Source organism: Homo sapiens, chromosome 10, assembly GCF_000001405.40.
Source record: "Homo sapiens chromosome 10, GRCh38.p14 Primary Assembly".
Classification (NCBI taxonomy): Eukaryota; Metazoa; Chordata; class Mammalia; order Primates; family Hominidae; genus Homo; species Homo sapiens.
The window spans coordinates 117,359,099-117,380,701 of record NC_000010.11 but is presented as its reverse complement, the minus strand read 5'-3'; the positions used below and the strand labels follow the sequence as shown (position 1 = coordinate 117,380,701).

Genomic DNA, 21,603 nt, shown 5'->3' with positions numbered 1-21,603 from the left:
GTCAGATGTTCCTCAGAACTCTGATAAGAACCAAAAACATCTATTGGTTGTGGCCATATAGAAGTCGCTGGCCTTTGGCAAGATGGGGAGGTGTTCAGGCAGAAGTCAGATTATGGAGGGTTAAGGAGTAAATGGAAGGGAAGTAAGCAATCAGACAGAATTGGGTACTCTTTTTAAACAGCTTGACTCTGTGGGCAAGAAAGAGTGGAAGTCGGAAGGCTTAAGGGAAGATGGTCTCTGGATTTGTTTCGTTTTCATTTTTTAAGATGTGGAGAGTGAATCTGGTTTATGTGTTGAGGGAGAGGAGATTGACCCTGGAGGGGAGTGGAATCCATGGCACAAGTAGGGGGATTATCAGGGTTACCCTTGGACAAAAAAGTTTTTGCTTTGTTTTTTGGTTGTTTTTTGCCACAGAAGAGAAGCATGAAAACATGGGAGTGTCATGCAGGTGAGCTTGGACCAGGGAAGCAAGCAGCGGAGGAAAGCCCAGCCTAAGGGCCTCTTTTTTTCTCCCTGAAGTGGGAGGAGGGTCCTCCCCTGAGCATGATGAAAGAGCTGAGCCTGGTCAAGGTTTGATGGCATTGTTATGGGACATGGAAGAAGATGCTGGTAATGGAGAAAAAATGGATAAATGTGGTAGTGGAGAAAAATGTCTGGGTTTCCTTGAGGGCCTTAATAAGAACGAAGACCATAAATTTATAATGTAGAGGGGAGGAGGTAGATAGTTGGATTCATTTAGGGTTGAGGTTTTGCAGGTGGAGATGGAAGGAAAAGTGTTAATGCCATTCTCTAGCTTAAAGACCTTTGAAGACTTCACAAAAACTGCAAAATAGAATAAAAACTTGCCCTGACATTTAATCTCTCCATAATTTAGTTTGTGTCTACTTTATTATGCTACCTCCATCTCCCTTCTCTCCTTGATGCACCAACCTATTCGTACTACCTTCTTCCAGTCATCCTGGTCTCAATTTCCCCAAACTGGCGGGTTTCCATCTTCTGAGTTTTTGTCTCCTTCTGATTAGAATGCCCTTCTAATCATTAAATGCCAATGCAAATTCCATTTGCCCCAAAAGCCTCCCACCTTCCCCAGCAAGAATTAATCTCTTATCCCCTATTGAGCTAGTATTGCCCATCATGTCTTCTCAATCCTCTCCCAGTCCTTGAAGAAGTTGCCCCACCCACCAGCAGCCCAGAAGAGGCAAGCTCCTTGGTCATAAATTATTGGAGTAGCACAGCCAATTGGAGATTTCTCTCCCAGGATTTGAGATTGAGCTTGCAGGCTACCTTAGCCATCAGAGACATAGGACCCTCTAGATCTGGATAGAGAGCTGGTGCCTCCCAAAGTGCCTGTGTGCTGAGGGTAATGGGGAAGTAGAAACCAAGAGCCTTCTGGAGTAAAATGGCACAGACCTGCAGGGAGATGCAGAAATAAGATACTGGGTAGGGGTGGGGGCAGAGGAAATGAGAGTGAGAGACAGTTTTCTTACTCTAGGATTTCTATGAACATCTTGCAGCTGAGTTCCTGGAGATATTCCAGCATCCTTAACGTGAATCCAATTTTAGTTGTAAGTTAGCCTGAGGTAGTTGCTGTTCCTTGCAATCAATTGTCACTGCCCCTGAACCAGAAGGCTCTGCTCCCATAGTACCTTGCATGTGCCTCTATTAGAGCACTATCTCCTATCATCAGAGTTATGCAGATGTGTGTCTGCTTCCACCTGGGGCGCAGCGCCCCTGTTCATTCAGTATCCCTGGAGCCTAGTACTTGTTGGATGCTCAAAAAATAGTTGTGGAATTTGAATTCTCCCAGTTCACAAAATGGTTTGTTGATGTATCATTTGTTAGGCAAACCTTATAAACTCTATGTTTCCCACCATATTTCACTATATTTGCATTATTTTACATCTTTCAAAAAATCAAATTTGCTTTCATGCTACTCACAAACTTTGCACATTTACGTGGTTTGGCTTTCTCATTATTTTTCGCGGTCACCAGGAATGATTCATAGTCAAGCAGTGGTCCATGCATCCCTCTAGTTGGTGAGAATGTCTTATATGCAACCCATCTTCCAGTATTCAACTGACTTCGACCTTGAAATGGATATTTCCATGAAGGCTGTTGGGGCAGCTTAATTTCAATGATGTCATTTAAAACACATTAAAAAGTCAGCAGGGAGGCTAAGCACAACTGCTTCCTTTAAAAACCTATTCAGAATCATCGATCTTCAGAGCTGGGGCCAGTGGTTCTCAGGCTTTTGAGTTTCTATGAACCAGCATTAATATAAGAAAAAAAGGGAGGGGTTGCTGAATTTATCCTTTTCCAGAAAATAGCATTAAAACAAATTCGTCTCTATTAACATAGTATAATTTCATAAAATAAAGGGCATGCTAACACCAATATTATCCAGAGCATTATCTCCTAACTTATCAAACACAGTCAAGTGTGGCTTAACAACAGACATAAGTTGTGAATCTTTAGGCAGTTTCATCATTGTGCGAACATCAGAGTGTCCTTACACAAACCTAGATGGGAAACCCTACTACATACCTGGGCCATATTGTATAGCCTATTGTTCCTAGGCTACAAATCTATACAGCACGTTGCTGTACTGAATACTGTAGGCAACCATAACACAATGGTATCTGTGTATCAAAACATCTCTAAACACAGAAATGGCATAGTAAAAATACGGTACTATAATCCTATGGGGCCACCATCCTATAGGCAGTCTGTCGTTAACAAGAACATCCTTCTATGGTGCATGACTGCATATTTGACTTTACAAAAACTCATGATATTTTGATTTCTAAATAATGTTTGAAATATTTAAATATTTCTAAATAACATGCTTAACACTGTGCTTGGCACATGGTCAGTTCTCTGTATTATTATTATTAGTGTTTAATCAATGTTGGTCATGTTTCACACAAGGGAGAATACTTTTTTCTTCCCAAAAGGTTTGCTGAGCTCTTTCATGGATTTGAAGTGTGTCCCTAAGGGGTCAAGTTTTGCTGGGGAATGCAATGACTCTGACTCTGTAAAACAAACTGAGAAGATTTAAGATTCTCACAGGTATTCTGAGGAGCGCAGAAGTGAGAGGAGAAGAGAAAAGAAAGGAGTCTGCAAGATGAAGACTGAGGACTCATTCCCATGAAGACCACAAACTTTCATTGTTGAGGAGGGAGGTGGGTGAAGAATATTTTGCAACTCGGGATGGATCAATATACAGTTTGAGGGTTTTATATTTCAGGAATGTGAATAACTTCTTTCATGCCACCCTACTTCCAGCTTCTGTAACATTTATAATATGCAATGTGCATGAATGTTATGAATAGGTTTACGGTGGAAATCATAGAAGGGTCTACATTTCTCATTTGAGTTGAAACAGTGTAGATCCCAGAGAGCAGCCCAGAAGCAGAGGCCAGGAACCAAAGGGGACCAGAGAACAGAAGTTGCCAAGATCTCCGAAAAATCTCGGCCATGGTTTGAGCATGGTTCCTCAGCAGACACCTATCTTATGTCTTCATAGTAATGAAAGCCATTCTGGTTTCGTATCTGGGCATGATTCGGTAAGGCATGATAAGCCTGGTTCCGAAGTTCTGTACCTGTCCCAGCTGGGTCAGGTCTATTTTTGTGGTAGAATCACCTACAGTTAAGAGAATCCTTGGCTTGGAGGTTTTCTTCTTTTTTTTTTGAGACAGGGTCTTGCACTGTCGCCCAGGCTGGGGTGCAATGGCGTGATCTTGGCTCACTGCAACCCCCGCCTACCGGGTTCAAGTGATTCTCCTGCCTCAGCCTCCTGAGTAGCTGGGACTACAGGCGCGCACCACCACGACCGGTTAATTTTTGTATTTTTAGTATAGACGGGTTTCACCATGTTGGCCAGGCTGGTCTCGATCTCTTGACCTCGTGATCTGCCCGCCTCGGCCTCCCAAAGTGCTGGGATTACAGGCGTGAGCCACCACGCCCGGCCGGCTTGAAGGTTTTCAAGGGCTAGAGAGGAGCCCTGCCCTGGCTCCTTAGGTACAGCCAGAATCGGCCTTTAAGGTATGGGATATCTGACTCCTGCAGGACTGGAACTCCACGTGCTTGGAGGGATAAGCATTTATGATGTAACCACTAAGTAGTCAGAGGGCAGGAGGAGTAACGCTGTTGCTGGGCAACCTGGCTTAGCTTCGTGGCTTTGGTTAAGGTGCTACTCTATGCAAAATTCCTTGCCGTCTTCCCTAATCCGCCTCCCCAATTCTCCCTTCCTGAACATTAGGGAACCCACTGGCCTGCTTACAACTGAAGCAGTTTCTGTGTTAGGGCAGAGAGTAGTGATCAAGACATTAGGGTTTAGTGTTAGATAAACCAGGCTCCACTCTGCGGCCCCACGCAACCTCCCCACGCTCTCTGCACCAGTGTTGGCATCTGTCAAGTGGGTGGGGGCTAACAGTGAATAACTGCCTCATAGATGGACTACCGGCTTAACCAGAGACTGACAGCGGGTCGCATATTAATCTTCCAATCACTTGGCAAACTCGTTTCACTATGCATCTCTCCTCCTGGCTGTTCTTTCAACTTCCTCCTCCCTGAAATTTCGAAGATCCACCTCGGTGGGAAAGTCATTCCGCGTGGCGCGCCCTTTCCCTGCGTCCCTCCTTCCCAGGGCCCACCCTCCGCGGACGCAGAGCGTCTGCCGGGGGGACGGCAGGTCCGCGATGGCTGCCTCTGAGGCAGTCGGTCCCCTCTCGCCGTGGGCTTGGGAAGCGTCCGAAAGGCCCGCTCGGATCGTCTGCGGTGCTGCCCGCAGGGAAAGCGCCGCTGCCAGCCGGGCTGTCACGGGTGCGAGTGGAAGAAGCACACCGCAGGATGAGCGACGCCGCTGCAGAGGTAACCGCGGGGACTGCGGCCAGAGACGGGGGATGGGCGCAGCCGAGGATAACGGGATGGCCGGCATCCGGAACGCGTCAGGCCCGCTCCGCCGGACCGCCTTATCCTCCAGCCCGCGTCCCCAGCCGTCCTCCCAGATCCCGACCGCAGCTCCAGAAGTGACGGCCACGTGGGTGGCGGCGCGCGCCGCGGGGATTGGAATGTTGGCGTGGGGGGACGAGGTTGGAAGGGCCGCAGAGAAGTAAAGGAGGACCCGCGTCCGCGTGCCCGGGCGCCGACTGCTGGGCGACGCCGCCGGGAGCGAGCACGCCTCTGACGTCACGCGCTGCTCGTCCAATGAGTGGAGGCCTGAGGGAGGCGCCGGTCCCGGCCCCGCTGCCGCCGCCGCCACACCGGCCCTTCGGGAGCGTCTGAGGAGGCGCGGGCCGCTGCGGGCTCGGGCGCCGCAGCGCGCCGGCCCGAGCCCCTGGACGAGGCCCACGGAGCCGCTCGCCCCGACCCAGCCGCCCGATGTCCTCAAAATGGAGGCAGCGGGGGCGGCGGCGTGAAGAAAGCGGCGCTGTGGGCGCGGGAGTAGGGGCCCGGGCGGAGGCGGTGGCGGGATGGGGCTGCTGCTCATGATCCTGGCGTCGGCCGTGCTGGGTTCCTTCCTCACGCTCCTCGCCCAGTTCTTCCTGCTGTACCGCAGACAGCCCGAGCCGCCGGCGGACGAGGCCGCCCGCGCGGGCGAGGGCTTCCGCTACATCAAGCCAGTGCCGGGCCTGCTCCTAAGGGAGTACCTTTATGGCGGCGGCCGGGATGAGGAGCCCTCCGGAGCGGCCCCTGAGGGCGGCGCGACCCCCACCGCGGCCCCCGAGACCCCCGCCCCGCCGACGCGGGAGACTTGCTACTTCCTCAACGCCACCATCCTATTCCTGTTCCGGGAGTTGCGGGACACCGCGCTGACCCGCCGCTGGGTCACCAAGAAGATCAAGGTGGAGTTCGAGGAGCTGCTGCAGACCAAGACGGCCGGGCGCCTGCTGGAGGGGCTGAGCCTGCGGGACGTGTTCCTGGGCGAGACGGTGCCCTTCATCAAGACCATCCGGCTCGTGCGGCCAGTCGTGCCCTCGGCCACCGGGGAGCCCGATGGCCCTGAAGGGGAGGCGCTGCCCGCCGCCTGCCCCGAGGAGCTGGCCTTCGAGGCGGAGGTGGAGTACAACGGGGGCTTCCACCTGGCCATCGACGTGGACCTGGTCTTCGGCAAGTCCGCCTACTTGTTTGTCAAGCTGTCCCGCGTGGTGGGAAGGCTGCGCTTGGTCTTTACGCGCGTGCCCTTCACCCACTGGTTCTTCTCCTTCGTGGAAGACCCGCTGATCGACTTCGAGGTGCGCTCCCAGTTTGAAGGGCGGCCCATGCCCCAGCTCACCTCCATCATCGTCAACCAGCTCAAGAAGATCATCAAGCGCAAGCACACCCTACCGAATTACAAGATCAGGTGAGCTGGAGGTCGGGGAGGGGGCCTGGCTGCCGGGAACCCGGGCCTGGGCGGGACGCTGCGTGGATTGGGAAGGGCAAAGGCTCATTTCTGTCCTGGCGCCTGCTTCTGGGGCCTTCCCACCCTGGACAGGGCCCCAGATCAAGGCGAGTCGTGAACACTTGCTTTGCTTCCGAACGGCATTGATAGGAGCTAGAAACCTTTTCGCGTGTTCATGGGGACTCAGGGTGCTGTCAACGCGGGCAGAATCGTCTCCTTTTATAAGCAGCATATTGGAAATGGAAGGGAAGCCTACCCTAATCCCCAGGAGTCGCTTCTGGGACTGTTGAGAAACTCTCCCTCTATGTGGTTGCTGCATTGAGGGCAGCCGCGTCACTGGCTTTGCAGCATCCCCTTGGCCGCTTTGAGAAATTGTTCCTGGACACAGTACACGCGTGAAGAGTGTGCTTATAGCCCAGGTCTGTGCTAATTTGACATTGCAAGCCACTTTTGCTTTGATGGTTTGACACCTTTCAAGGCAGAGGTGGTAACTCTTGCAAAGGAATACTTTTGTGGGTTTTTTTTGTTTTTGTTTTTGAGACAGAGTCTTGCTGTGTCGCCCAGGCTGGAGTACAGTGGCGCGATCTCGGCTTACTGCAACCTCTGCCTCCCAGGTTCGAGCGATTCTCCTGCCTCAGCCTCCCAGGTAGCTGGGGTTACAGGCGTATGGCACCACGCCTTGCTGATTTTTTTTTTTTTTTTTTTTTTTTTTGTATTTTTTAGTAGAGACGGAGTTTCACCGTATTGGCCAGGCTGGTTTCGAACTCCTGACCTCAAGTAATCCGCCTGCCTCGGCCTCCCAAAGTGTTAGGATTACAGGAGTGAACCACCGCGCCCGGCCCGGGAATACTTTCCACAGCAGATGGGAAAGGAGTTGGGAGCCTGTACATAGTGTACTTTACATTTTGTATTAATGTCATTTGCCCATTTTGGGTAGATTGTAGAACACAGATCCAGACTCTGCCCATCAAGCATTTACTCTCTGTGACTGTAAGTTCTTCTCTCAAGGGACCTGAAGTCACTGTACAAATTGTATTTTAATGCTAGGTAGTGATTTTAATTTTGTTTAAGCCTTCCAGCATCTGATGGCTTAAATTTTGTGGTATACAGTTTTGAGTAGTATATAAATTTTGTTTTAATATTGTAGGAGTGGAAGGGGAAAGACTTTTTTAGGGCTAGAGGTGGAGTGGAAGGTGCTTTTTCTTTTGTAAAAAGCTGAATTTTTAACTTCTCTTTCGGTCCTCCTTTAATTTTGTATTCACTAAGACATTTGAGCCTTTAAAATTTTGCCCTTTATTATAAAATTATGTCAGTCTTGTATTTTACTTACCTAATTTTACTTGCCTTTTAGTGGAAGTTGCCTATTTCTGGATCACTAATTTTCTACCAGTGTCAATTTTCAGGAGCAAGATAATCCAGAAATATTTTGGGTTTGGAATGGATTATTGACTTCTGTATGTGGCAGATGTACCTTACCAATTATGTTTTGTTTAGGCTAACAGCGCAGAGTGACAGTTTAAAACTTGCGTGGCAGGAGAAATTTACTTTGTAATGGAAATATTTCCATAGATTTGCGGAGGGTGGTGAACTGGTTGTTCACTGTGTTCGATTTCTGGTTCTGTGAAGTAGAACATACTTTATGAAACCTACTTTTAACCTCTGGAATATCAGTGATTAAATTATAACTCGGTTCTAGTGTTTAAGCAGTGAGAGATGTTTATTTATAGCAGTGTGTTGCCAAAAAAGTCATGAGAAAAAGTTGCTAGAAATTTTGGTATTCTATCACAACTTCAATTATGATGTTTTCTGATAGCTTTCAGTTAATACAATTTGACTAGATTATTATTTTGAAATTTGTAGACTAGCCAATGACAGTGAGATTACATATCATTTTGAGATTTTTTTTTTAATGTAGACTTGGAATTTAGGTAAATCTGAAGTAAGTTATGAATAAGTTATGGAGGCATTGAGAAGTTTATTACTTTGAAAAACTATTATCTGTATCATTGAATAACAACCATTTAAAAGTATGGCAAAATTGCTTTTCACTTTGAAGGGATTTTTTTAAAAACAGCATGAATTTGGTTATGATATTTCAACTTCTAAATGTGAAGCATTAAATGATCATTTCCAGAAGTATGCACATCTGTGCTATTTATACTGGATGGCATCTCAATGCTCAGTCAGCTGCACAGAGCATATCACTCAATCTGTAAATGTTTATTGTACACCTGCTATATGCTTATCCTTGTTGTAGATGCTGGGATTTCAGTACTGAACAATACTTGAACTCAGCCCTCAGGAAGCTTAGAGTCTAGTGAGAATTGAATTAGCTATACTTAGTAATTTTTTTGTGTTTTTCGTTTGTTTGTTGAGACAGGATTTTGTTCGGTTGCCCAGAGCTGGAGTACAGTGTCAGGATCATGGCTCACGGCAGCTTCGACCTCCTGGGCTCAAGCAATCCTCCCATCTCAACCTTCCAAGTAGTTAGGACCACAGGTGTGTGCCACCACTCCTGGCTAATTAAAAAAAAATTTTTTTTGTAGAGATAGGTCTTGCTTTGTTGCCCAGGCTAGTCTGGAACTCCTGGGTTCATTCAAGTGATCCTCCCACCTCAGCCTCCCAAAGTGCTGGGATTACAGGTGTGAGCCACCTTGCCCGGCGCTTTGTAAGATTTAAACTAGAATGGGATTGATGGGGTTGAAGTAGCCAGGAAGCCGGTTTTAGCTTAGTAGAAGAAAATAGCAAGTATGACGATGAAAAGGGCTGCCTCAGCAAGTGATGACTTCTTGTCTGTGTAGCTGTTCTGTCCAGTGTTTTAAACTGGTGATGGGCCAGGTGCAGTGGTTCACGCCTGTGATCCCAGCACTTTGTAAGGCTGAGACAGGCGGATTACTTAAGGTCAGGAGTGTGAGACCAGCCTGGCCAACCTGATGAAACCCCGTCTCTAGTAAAAATGCAAAAATTAGCTGGGCGTGGTGGCGGGCGCCTGTAATCCCAGCTACTCTGGAGGCTGAGGCAGGAAAATGGCTTGTACCTGGGAGGCAGAGGTTGCAGCCAGCCGATATCGCACCACTGCACTCCAGCCTGGGCGACAGGGTGAGACTCCGTCTCCAAAATAAATAAGTAAATAAATAAATAAACAAACTGGTGATGATGTGGGACTGATTCAAGTTTCAGATAAGAATGAATTACAATACATCTAAGATATAGCATACTTCTCACAGGGAAAATTAAACTAGCTAGTGTTCATCTTTTTTTACAGATGAGGAAATGGAGCTCGGAGTAGTTAAATAACTTGCTTAAAGTCACACAGCTTTCAAGTGTTGAAACGCAGCTCTGATAAGGCCAGGCCACCTTTAAACACACACACACACACACACACACACACACACACAAACTATGTTGTTCTTAAGTGATTTATTTTTTAAAAGCATGCCATCGATATAGTAAATATGTGGGATATCTTTCCAAACTAACCTAGAACTCTTGAGAAGAGTATGACTATAAAGCTGATTTTTTTTTCTTAAATTGGTCATTTTAGAGGATCCTTTTAAAAGTAAATCATGAGGCTAAATCTTTGGGTACTGTCCCACGTGGCATTTCTTTTTTAATTGAGCAGAATTGTGTTTCCAAATAGAAGAGACAGGTTTCACCATGTTGGCCAGGCTGGTTTCGAACTCCTGACTTCAGGCAGTCTACCCACCTCGGCCTCCCAAAGTGCTGGGGTTACATGTGTGAGCCGCTGTGCCCGGCCTAGTTTATTCTTTTTTAGCTATCTAATCTTCTTAGTAGAGCTAAAGCAGTAAAGAGAATTGTATGGAGTCTTACGATCCTTTGGCATTTGTAATCATTACATAACAAATATCTTGCCAGTTAACGTTGTTATTACTTCTTTCCCCCTTCATTTATTTTGCCTTTTTCGTGTTGCTAAAGTGAATCAGCCTCTCTGGACTGCCAGTTCCTGATGTTTCACCTAGAGATGCTAAGTTGCTCAAGTGGTTGCTTTCTAAGGACCCAGCTGACTGACATTTCATTTTACCCAAGTTAACAAACTTACAATGTTTGTAAAACATTTTATTTTACAAAATGAATTATAATATGTAGACAATATGTTTACAGATTTATTCAAGTTAGGAATTTCATTCATCCACCTCAATGTTAATTGGTTTGATTTTTTAATTAAAATAGTATATTATAATAGCAATATATTTTTTTAAATGAACCTCAGAATCCATCCTCAAGGGAGAAAGATTACCACTAATGTTCTTTTACTACGTGGATAATTCATCTTAAACATGGAGTCTGAGTAATAGTGTCTGGGTGGGGAGCTCTGTTTAGGGTTTAGGAGTCAAATATTTGAGATTCTTACGGATGCTTGTGTTCCTGGAGTATTATTGTATATAGACAAGCAGATTCAGTTTGCAGGTACTTTTAATTTGGCCTGCACTGTTTAAAAAATGGAAAATTCTGTGTGTTTTGGATTTGTGGCTTCTGTTAGGAAAAATTGGAATATCTTGTAGCGCCAGTGCTGCATTTCTCAGAGCAACAACAGGATGGAGAGATGGACTGTAGTAGCAGCTTTGGGGTTGAAACTCGGTGTGTAAGCTCCTAGGTGGAGTTTATAGTCCCCCCTTATTTGCTGTGCTTAATTGATGGTACTTGCCTGGCTTGGAGTTATATGAATTTGAGACCCGTACTGGAGGAGTAAATAGGGAGCATTACTGTTGCTGATTAGTGAAAATGAGAAGACTTAATAGCTGGAGTGGAGAGGGAGAGTGATCATTTTTATCCTTCTTTTAATTACATTTTTGAAGGGACTGTCATAGAGCAATTTTATTTTTTAAAAGACATTGTTGGCCAGGTGCGGTGGCTCACTCCTGTAATCCCAGCACTTTGGGAGGGCAAGGCAGGCGGATCACTTGAGGTCAGGAGTTCGAGACCAGCCTGGTCAACATGGCGAAACCCCATCTTTACTAAAAATACAAAAATTAGCTGGGCATGGTGGCACATGCCTGTAATTCCAGTTACTCAGGAGGCTGAGGCAGGAGAATCGCTTGAACCCGAGAGGCAGAGATTGCTGCAAGCCGAGATCATACCACTGCACTCCAGCCTGGGCAACAGAGCAAGACTCTATCTCAAAAAGTAAAAATAAATAAATAAATAAATAAAAGACATTGTCAGGCCTGGCGTGGTGGCTGATGCCTGTAATCTCAGCACTTTGGGAGGCCAAGGTGGGTGGATCACTTGAGGTCAGGAGTTCGAGACCAGCCTGGCCAACATGGTGAAACCCCGCTTCTACTAAAAATGGCACGCACCTGCAGTCCCAGCTGCTGGGGATGCTGAGGCATGAGAATTGCTTGAACCCAGGAGGCGGAGGTTGCAGTGAGCCAAGATTGCGCCACTGTATTCCAGTCTGGGCAACAGAGTGAGACTGTCTCAAAAAAAAAAAAAAAAAAAAAAAACATTGTCAATATAATGTTGAATTTTAAAAAGTCACTCTGCCAGAAAAAAAAAAATGCCTTGAAATGCAATCCATTTTTCTACCATGTAGTGATGGTAAGTAGATAGTGTCTCCTTTTTGTTCGAGTTTGGTGGATAGTTTGCTTTAGTGGAATGGGTCATTAATAACTATGTAAGCATTTACTTCACTGATCTCCAAAAAGGGGGGCATCAACTTATTGACAGTATATTTGAATTTAATGAATTGAGTGATCCGTATCTCAAAATCTTTCAAAGTAAATTCACAGAAAACTGACAAAATCATTTGTAAAGTCAAGTGTAATATGTTGTATTTATTTACTTTTTCATACTTTTTTCCTTTCTATTACATTGGAAAATATTTTAAAATAGCTACTAAAATTCCTTGATGGTTATAATAGTGACAGTTTTACTTACTAATGTTGATAGGAAATCTAACCTTTAATATTTGGGGAGAATAGACAATGGCATTGTGCATTACTCTAGCTATGCTGGAATAATCTTGTAATAGCTAATTTTTAACCTGTTGTGCTTTTTCTTGTACTGTTGCTCATATCTCTATATCTCGTCATATCTCTGTATAAGTTGAATTGCAAGATCATTGTCTTAGAGATGAATAATTATGTCATTTAAAAAATAGTCATTTATCTTCAGTAAGTGCTTAGTGCATACTACCTAGTGTTGCGGTGGGTATAGTAAACGTGATAAAAATGGTTATAAACTAGTTCATGCTATTATAGGGTTAGTCTTTCTAGGGAAAACAAAGAACACATAAAGCTTATTTTAGTGGCATTGGAAATATTTAAGCCCTTCAGTTTTGTGAGAAACTGGAACAGGAGAGATCAATATCTCTGCTCTGCTAAGGCAAACACCTGATTACTGTGGTACCGTATGTAATGCATTGTGACCTTAGCTTTTTTTTTTTTCCTCTCTCGTTGCCCAGGCTGGAGTGCAGGTGCATGATCTCGGCTCACTGCAACCTCCGCCTCCCAGGTTCAAGCAGTTCTCCTGCCTCAGCCTCCCACAGGCGTGTGCCACAATGCCCAGCTAATTTTTTTATTTTTAGTAGAGATGGGGTTTTGCCATGTTGGGCAGGCTGGTCTTGAACTTCTGACTTCAGGTGCTCTGTCTGCCTCGGCCTCCCAAAGTGCTGGGATTACAGGCATGAGCCACCACATTAGCTTTCTTAGCACACCTAAGTGTACTCCACCTAAATACCCAGTTTAGTGCTGATTTTACTTCTTGCACATTGGATTTCCTCCAGCTGCTTTGAATTATTTTAATTTCAGCTTTTAAAACACTTTAGATGGAGAATAATGTATTGATACATTACATCTTTGCTCTAGAAATTTGATTTATTCATTGAGGGGAGAATAGTCATTTTGAGGAGGCTATAATTTTTGTTTGTTTGTTTGTTTGTTTGTTTTGAGACGGAGTCTCACTCTTGCCCAGGCTGGAGTGCGGTGGCGCTATATTGGCTCACTGCAACCTCCACCTCCCGGGTTCAAGCAGTTCTCCTGCCTCAGCCTCCCAAGTAGCTAAGATTGTAGGCGTATGCCACCACACCCGGCTAATTTTCACATATTTAGTACAGACAGGGTTTCACCATGTTGGCCAGGCTGGTCTCCAACTCCTGGATTCTAGTGATCCCCCCGCCTCAGCCTCCCAAAATGCTGGGATTACAGGTGTGATTCACACCCTGCCGGGAGGCTATAAATTCAAATCAGTAATGTACAAGTATATTGGCTATCCCAAAAAGCCACAGTTTCTTCCTGGAAATAGCCAAAGCAGATCATTATAAAGTAGATTGTGTTGAAGGAGCATGCCTGATCAAATACTAAACGTTGACTTACAAGTATTACTAACAATCTATCATATGAGCAGGGTGGGGCTAATAAAACACTGTTTGCTAAGTATTCATTAGGCACTGTGTGGGCATTTCCATGCAGTTGCAATCTCAATAGTTAAAACTCCTATGTGGGAGAGGTTGGTATCTCAGTTTTACAGATGTGGAAATATGCGATTTACGGAGGATTAGTGATATAAAGTCCTAAATGTAAAAGGTCCTGGACTTCCAGAGCTCATGCTCTATTATTTCTTCAGAGATAAACCAACTGTTACTCTAAATCAGGGGTCTGCAAACTAGCTGCTGTTAGGCCCCTGCATTAAGAATGGTTTTTACATTCTTAAACTTTATATTTGACGTTGTTAAAAGAAGTACTGGTGGTGGTGGTGGTGGTGGTAATGGTGGTGACAGTGGTGGTGGTGGTAGTGGTGGTGGTAGTGACAGACCTTATGTACCCACAAATACTATCTGGCCTTTTACAGAAAAGATTCACTGATCCCTGCTCTAAACTTTAAAAAAAAACCCTAAAAATACACCCCCCTCAACAGTTACAATGTTTACCAAAAAAGAAGCTATATATGTGTACATTGAAAGTACTTTTAAGTCTTTGAGGGTCCTGTCCTTTGGAAACCTGCAGAAAATTTCTGCAGAAAACAAATTTTCTGCATAAAAATATTTCATTTAAGTTCATAGTTCCCTTGAAGCTTTTTTAGGGTCCTTAGACTTTAGGTTGAAAAATAAACACAAACAGAAGTATACAACTTTGTTACCGTAAACATAACTAAAACTAACATGCTGAAATCAATATTAACCACTTCATTATTTTGCTTACCTTCTTAAAATGTATATAGGATTCATATGGCTCAGGCGTTTCTAAAAATGCTGGAGGAGGGGGTAATCCCTCTCTCTATCCTATGAAGTGTATGTCTTTTTGATTCTTTTTTTTTTCCTCTTAAGATTTCATATAGCAGGCTGAGGGACTCTAGATCAATAGTTCAGTAAGAATATATGAAATTTCAAGTTAGAGTTCTTATTACTAAATACCTTGTTTAAAAGTTAAATACTGACTCAACATTTCTTCCCATGATATTCTCTGTTTTCTCAGAACAGTGTCACCAGGAAACAAGTATTATTAAATGACTTTGTTCTTACCTCAGAGTCATAGGACGTACTGACACTTTTTTGGCATGGCATCAGAGCACATCACACTTAATTGGAAAGTTTTAAAGCCAACTACCTGGTCATTAGCAGGTGTTTTACAGAGTAGTTTCAAAATCTCTCTTGCCAAATTGCTAAGACTGGCATAAAACTGTACACTTCCTGTATTTGTACTAGGGAAAAATGTGATATGCACGTTAATTATTTACCTTTAGATGAGCAGTACTAATTTTACTAGATATATATCAGATATTTTCTAGGTGACACATTATATTCTTTTCCCTTTCAAATGAGCGACAAACTCACTTTAAAAATTCAAGCTGTTAGAAAATATGTAGTATCAAAGTGAAAATCTTCTGTAATATCTTTTCTTAAAACTATTGTTAAATTCGGGAACTATTCTTCCATATTTTTCTAAATGTATTATAATTTGCTATTAATTTATAAAGGCAGGATCATACTCAATACTTCATTGTTAGCATCTTTTTTTAAAAAACTTACTGTATCTTGAGTTTTCTATATATACCTACTTCATTTGTTCTAACAGATGCTTATAATTACATTGACCATTAGTACCATAAGTTAACCAATTCCTTGTTAATTTTTCAGTTTCTCACTAATGTAAATAATGGCACCATAAACATCCTTCTACCTGTATCTCTGTGTAGATGGTAGATTTTGTTGGTTATTTTTGGCCATTTTTTTTTTGGCATATATTTGTATAGTATTGAGGAGCATAAAGAAGTTAAAAATCTCCTCTCCATTTTGATTTCATCCCCTGATATACCCATGTTAAGTTTGAGGTCTAAACCTAACTGTATGCTCAAGCATACATATACAAGCCTCTTATATATATTGAGGAGGTGCCTCTCTCTCTTCCTCTTCTTACCTTCTTCCCTCTCCCTCCCTCCTGCCCCCACTTTCACTCCCTCCTTCCTTCTGCCCTTAGTAAAATGAGACTATAATATGAATGTGACCCTCCAAATTATTCTGTGAAGTGTAACATGGATGTCCCTTCAGATAATATGTATAAATCCATCTCATTTACTGCTTTTCTCTACTCTCAGCCATTCTCTCTGCCTCTGACCTTATCTTTCGTCACCACTTCTCACTTAATCTGTTCATGCCTCTTTGCTGTTCTCAGGTATGCTCCCACCACAGGGCCTTTGCTATTCCTTCTTCTGGAGTGTTTTTCCCACAGATAGCCAAAGAGCTCACTCCAACATTTTTTAGGTCCCTCTTAAATATCACCTTTCAACATATTATGTTAAAAAAAATAGTGGTTTAGCCCTTTAAATGCTGGAATTTTTTTTTGCTCAGACTTCCTACGGAAATATGCGTGTGTGTGTGTGCGTGTGTGTCTGTCTGTGTGCGTATAGAAACTGTCCCACTCCTAAATGTACAGTGATGAATTTTCACAAAGTGAACTGAAACATGTATCTGAGTGCTGTGATTTTGGTTTCTTAAACATAATTTATGGAACATATTTTAACATTTTTTATGGTTAAACGTTGTCATTATAAACACAGGCTGATGACATGTAACCCATACTATTGTGAAATCAGTATTGAAGGAGAGTGGCTTCTTTTTAGACAGACAGACACACAGACACACACACACTCTCACACACACACACACACACACACACACCCATAAATTATGTTGATTGTGGTCTCCAGCAGTTAACCATGTTGAATTCAAGGTCTGTCCAGGCACCATACTGGCACAGTATCCTTCTCCCATTCCCACACACAAACAAAATACTAAACACATATGTGTTTGCAACCTTCTCTGACACTCCAGAAGACTTGATTTTTAATTTCACATTTTTAGAAAGGTCAATATTGATAAACTGTAGATTATACTTTTCTTGGATTGATATAGAATAACAAACTTGCTTTTACTAGTCTGGTATATAATTGCCAATTTTCATGAAATCACAATGCTTTAGAACACATTTCTCTTTATTCTGTAATCAGCACATTGAGTATTTACGCCTGTGAATTCTTCATGTATTGTAGGGAGAATGGAGCTGATGATATGGTGGGTGGGGTACTGAATGTCTGGGCTTTGATTTGCATAACTTTGATAGAAAAGCTAGAAAATTTTTCACTTCTCAGCATTAATAGTTCTTGTTGGTATGTACTTAAAAACAAAAACGCTTGAATAGCATAGTAAAAATATCCTCATTGGGTTTATTCTTCTGTATTAAGTATCTATTATGTATACTTGGGTCATTGATAAGTTACCAGTTAAACAGAAACTTGCAACCTAACTACTTTTTAGAAATGGTGTTTCTCCTAGGATGAACTCTATAATATCCTACCTGTATAATCTACAGTTATAAATAACTATTGTTTTTTGCTGTGAAATCTTAAGTAGTAGTGATGGGGAGATACAATTTCTATTTAGTAGCTGGCTACAAGAATCTCTATTTTGAAAAATGACTATGTTCTGTTCTCAGATACAACTTTCATGGAGACATCAATATCTTCTGAATAGTGCATCTGGTGTTTGTGTTGTATGCTAATTTTTTGTCCTTTTTACACAATAGTCTTTCATACATACGGGATTATACTAACACTTATTACTAAGGATGTGGTTGCTGACTATACGGTCTTACTACCTTAGTCATTTGGTCATGCAAATAAATAATTCAAAGCTTTTTGTTCTCTGAAACCTGCTGTGGCTGAAATAAAAGCCATTCTGTTATAGCAAATTTCATTTGTATGGTAATTATTTTTATAATGCACTGAAAATCTTATTTTGTTCTCACCATTACTAAGTATAATATTATTTTCTGTAAAATTTAGGACAGGTGATATCTGATGTATTTCAGTGTTTGGAAATCTTGTTAGTTCTTAATGTTTAATTCTTTGGATTTTAATCGAGACCAGAATGGCAAACTCTTGCCATGGGAAGAATTTAACTAAATATTTGTAGTAAAATATGTGTCCTTTTGTTTACTAATGCTGGAGTGGTAGGTAGTACAAACTGAATTTACTTCAGATATTTTGAGATTAATGAAATGTAAAGAGAAAATTCTTGACAGTCTGTAAAATAAAGTCAGTGAATACAGTGTATCTAAATTATAGCCCATTTTAGGTAAATTGCTTACTTAAAGTGAGTAAATTATCTACTTAAAATATTTGAGTAAGTTGCTTACTCAAAATATTTGAACTTTTTAATACTACAGAGTTAGAATTTGGACTCAGTAATTCTGAGAATCATGCCACTCAACAAGCATTTATTGAACCAGACTCTTAGTAATTATTCTTAGAGTCTAGAGGATATCTGTGCTCTTATGATTTCTCTTGAAAGTAACTTGGCCTCTTGCCCTGAAAGAGTAGGATTAGAAGATGAGGAATTCCTGTTTTATTTCTGGAATTACTACTGATTTGTTGGTTTAGTATATCCTTGGACAAGTCATGCAACTTGTTATTTTGAGACTAAATGAAATGAAAAATCTAAAGTTTTAAAAGTTCTTAGAGAAAAGAATTATGTAAATGTAAGATGGCATTATTTATTCACTTTGCTGTTATTTCTGCAGGCTGCATCTTATCCTGGCATAGGTTTAATGTAGGGATTTCTCTCAAATAAGGATATACAAACTTTACCCAATAAATATTTTCCTTTAATAAGTTCTAACTTGAGTTAGGTACTTATAAACTAGCAGATGCAGAGATACAGATAGTATTAAAATCATTTATGTACTTTAGAAGATGTTTTACTTTTATTTGGATAGGGAAAAATTAGGAGAAAGCTGGACAGTTATAACCTTAAAACATAATCATCCCTCAGTATCCAAGGGGGATTGGTCCCAGGACCCTCCCCATTCCACCAGGATACCAAAATCCACAGATGCTCAAGTCCCTGATATAAAATGGCATAGTATTTGCATATAACCTAAGCATATCCACCTGTATACTTTAAATCATCTCTAGTTTACTTATAATGCCTAATACAATGTAAATGCTATATAAATAGTTCTTATACTATATTGTTTAGTGAATAATGATAAAAACAAAAGATCTGTACATCAAGTTCTGTACAGTCGCAACAGTCTTTTTTTTAAATCTGGGGTTAGTTGAATCCAAGGATGCAGAACCCATAGACGTGGAGGGCTATGTTAACTTCTCCTTATTTGTCTTATTCAGATTTTTTGTTGTCCCTTCATATTTGGAAAGGAATTTTTGTCTGTTTGATAACACCTGACTAGCTAAAGAAGACCAGATTTCTGTTTCATAAACTTCAGTGTTCATGTCTTTACCATAGTAGGGAGGTGGTAATTTTGCTTTAAAGTATTTTCTCTTTCAGTCCACAAGACTTCAGAAGAGATTCAGTTTATTTAGTAAATGTTTAACACCAACTTTGTCCAGAGTACACAAGACTTCAGAAGAGATTCAATTTATTCAGTAAATGTTTAACACCATCTTTGTCCAGAGAGCAACACACTGCAGAGACAGTTAGTGCTAACAGGGAGTAAATTAACACAGTCCTTTCAAGGTATTTTTAAAAATCTAGTAGTAAGAAAATATACTTAAAGTAAGGTAATGGGTTACAGCTTAGAATTTAAAAAAAAATTGCCCCGACTCAGTCGTTACAGTCTGACTCAGTGGTTTTCACAGTGTGATTTGGATGTTCCAGACCTTTGAGGGGTTGGCAGTCTACCAAGTCAAGTCAATTATTTTCATAATAATACAAAAATGTTATCTGCCTTTCTCACCCTTGTTCTCTCGCAAATATATGGTGAAATTTTACAGAAATTAAATATGTGGTGACATCATCACCCTCACAGCTAATGGAATGTGAGCTTTATATATTCTTATGTTTAAAATTTTTATCATTTGTAATTTCTGATATGCAAAATGTTAATAGACATAATCTACATGAACAGCAGCTCTTTGGGATCCTCAATAATTTTTAAAAGTTTATAGGAGTCCTAAGAACAAAATGTATAAGAACTGCTAGTCTGACCTGAAGTTTATTTATTTTTACCATATGTAAAGGAGCCACCTCTGTTGCCTCACTTTCTCAGTGAGCTTTAATAAATATTAAATATATACGTTATTTTCAGTTGCTATCTAGTATTGCTTGTACACCTTGGTATTGTAAGACACAAGGTTGAGTGGATTTGTTACAGTTTTGACTGCACCATTTACTTGAGTGGATTTGTTAGTTTTGACTGCACCATTTACTATGTGATCACAGACAAGCTGCTTTAGCTTTCTCTTTTGTCAAATAATGTTTATTATACTGTACCTTGTTATGAGTTGTGAGAATCAAGGACATATATCAGAGTTGCATAATTTACAGAAGTGCTAGAAACATTCAAAGTAGTCATTTTTATATTCTCATTCAATGGTGTGTGTTGGGGGGCTGGTAGAGAAGAACAGGAAAGAATAAGAGTTTGGATTTGCCCATTTTTTTAGCTATGTGAAAGCTGGGAATTTTGATTTAATTGATCATAGGCCATGGTAAGGGACCCTTACATTGTGGGTTGTGATGAACATAAGAAGATATGAGATTTGCCAGACATAGTCAAGAGAATTACTTTGGTTCCCTGAGCAACTCGTCTCATTTGATACCTTACCTCTGTGGTGCATAGGCTATCAGTTAACATTGACTCATCTTTTAGTCACCAGCTCTTTGAATTCTATTATGAGGGACCTGCAGCCTTGATTATCACTCTTTTGTTCAGCATATATATAAAAACTGCTTTAGAAAATTGTGAGGCATTTTGGACCTTGATCATTCTATGCAGAAATAGGAGCTTGGATAAAAGTGAGCATTTTATATTAGGTAGAGGGTATATGGATGAGCAGGAGAAATTTTTTTTTTGTAACAGTATTTGTTATCCTTGTTCTTATTAATTTCATAACTATTCAGGAATACTTTTTTTTCTCTGTAGGAATACAGAAATTAAAATAATTTCCCCAAGAATAGTACACTTCAAGGAATTTCATAAATAGAACAATTTTCTGTGGGTTTCCTGAAGTCAGTTTTTTAATATATTCAGTTTAATATAAGCTTAGTTATAAAACTTGATGCAGAAATACAAAGGTGATAACTAAGGTAGGGTGGCATGCTGACTTTTTGTTTGTTTGTTGTTTTTGTTTTTGAGACGGAGTCTCACTCTGTCACCCAGGTTGGAGTGTAGTGGTGCGACCTCGGCTTACTGCAACCTCTGCCTCCTGGGCTCAAGCAATTCTCCCACCTCAGCCTCTCGAGCAGTTGGGACTATAGGCGCGCACCACCATGCCCAGCTGATGTTTTGTATTTTTAGTAGAGACGGGATTTTACCATGTTGGCCAGGCTGGTCTCAAACTCCTGACCTCAAGTGATCGCCCGCCTCGGCCTCCCAAAGTGCTGGGATTACAGACATGAGCCACCGTGCCTAGCCTGTTGTTGTTTTTGAAACAGGGTCTCGCTCTGTCACCCAGGCTGGAGTGTAGTGGCACACTCATGGCTCAGTGTAACCTCAACTGCCTGGGCTCAAGTGATCCTACCATCCCAGCCTCCCCAGTAGCTGGGACTACAGGCATGCTCCACCATGCCCAGCTAATTTTTGTATTTTTTTGTAGAGATGGGGTTTTGCCATGTTGCCCAGGCTGGTCTCGAACTCCTGGGCTCAATCCATCCACTTACCTCGGCCTCCCAAGGTGCTGGGATTACAGGCATCAGCCACCACGCCTGGCCCTGACTATTGTTAATTTGTTCTCTTGCACTTAAC

At 42.0% G+C, this 21,603-nt stretch overlaps 1 protein-coding gene across 8 annotated transcripts in view, besides 3 other annotated features; it reads left to right on the top strand.

Moving 5' to 3' along the window:
* Window positions 4,822-4,941: an enhancer, noted in NCBI's record as "active region_4099". NCBI's record gives its function as "activates an Ori minimal core promoter by ATAC-STARR-seq in GM12878 lymphoblastoid cells {active_cell/tissue: GM12878}" and the evidence as "EXISTENCE:reporter gene assay evidence [ECO:0000049][PMID:35858748]".
* Window positions 5,172-5,491: a silencer, noted in NCBI's record as "silent region_2860". NCBI's record gives its function as "represses an Ori minimal core promoter by ATAC-STARR-seq in GM12878 lymphoblastoid cells {active_cell/tissue: GM12878}" and the evidence as "EXISTENCE:reporter gene assay evidence [ECO:0000049][PMID:35858748]".
* PDZD8 (PDZ domain containing 8) overlaps window positions 5,262-21,603 on the top strand; it is a 98,167-nt gene continuing 81,825 nt past the window's right edge. For all 8 annotated transcript variants that reach the window (XR_945602.3, XR_007061943.1, XM_005269518.5 and 5 more), the window contains exon 1: window positions 5,262-6,346. Coding sequence is in view for 6 of the 8 variants with exons in the window: in XM_005269518.5 (XP_005269575.1) it covers window positions 5,475-6,346 (872 nt within the window). In the remaining 2 variants the exon portion in view is untranslated. The remainder of the gene's footprint in view (window positions 6,347-21,603) is intronic.
* Window positions 5,592-5,771: a silencer, noted in NCBI's record as "silent region_2859". NCBI's record gives its function as "represses an Ori minimal core promoter by ATAC-STARR-seq in GM12878 lymphoblastoid cells {active_cell/tissue: GM12878}" and the evidence as "EXISTENCE:reporter gene assay evidence [ECO:0000049][PMID:35858748]".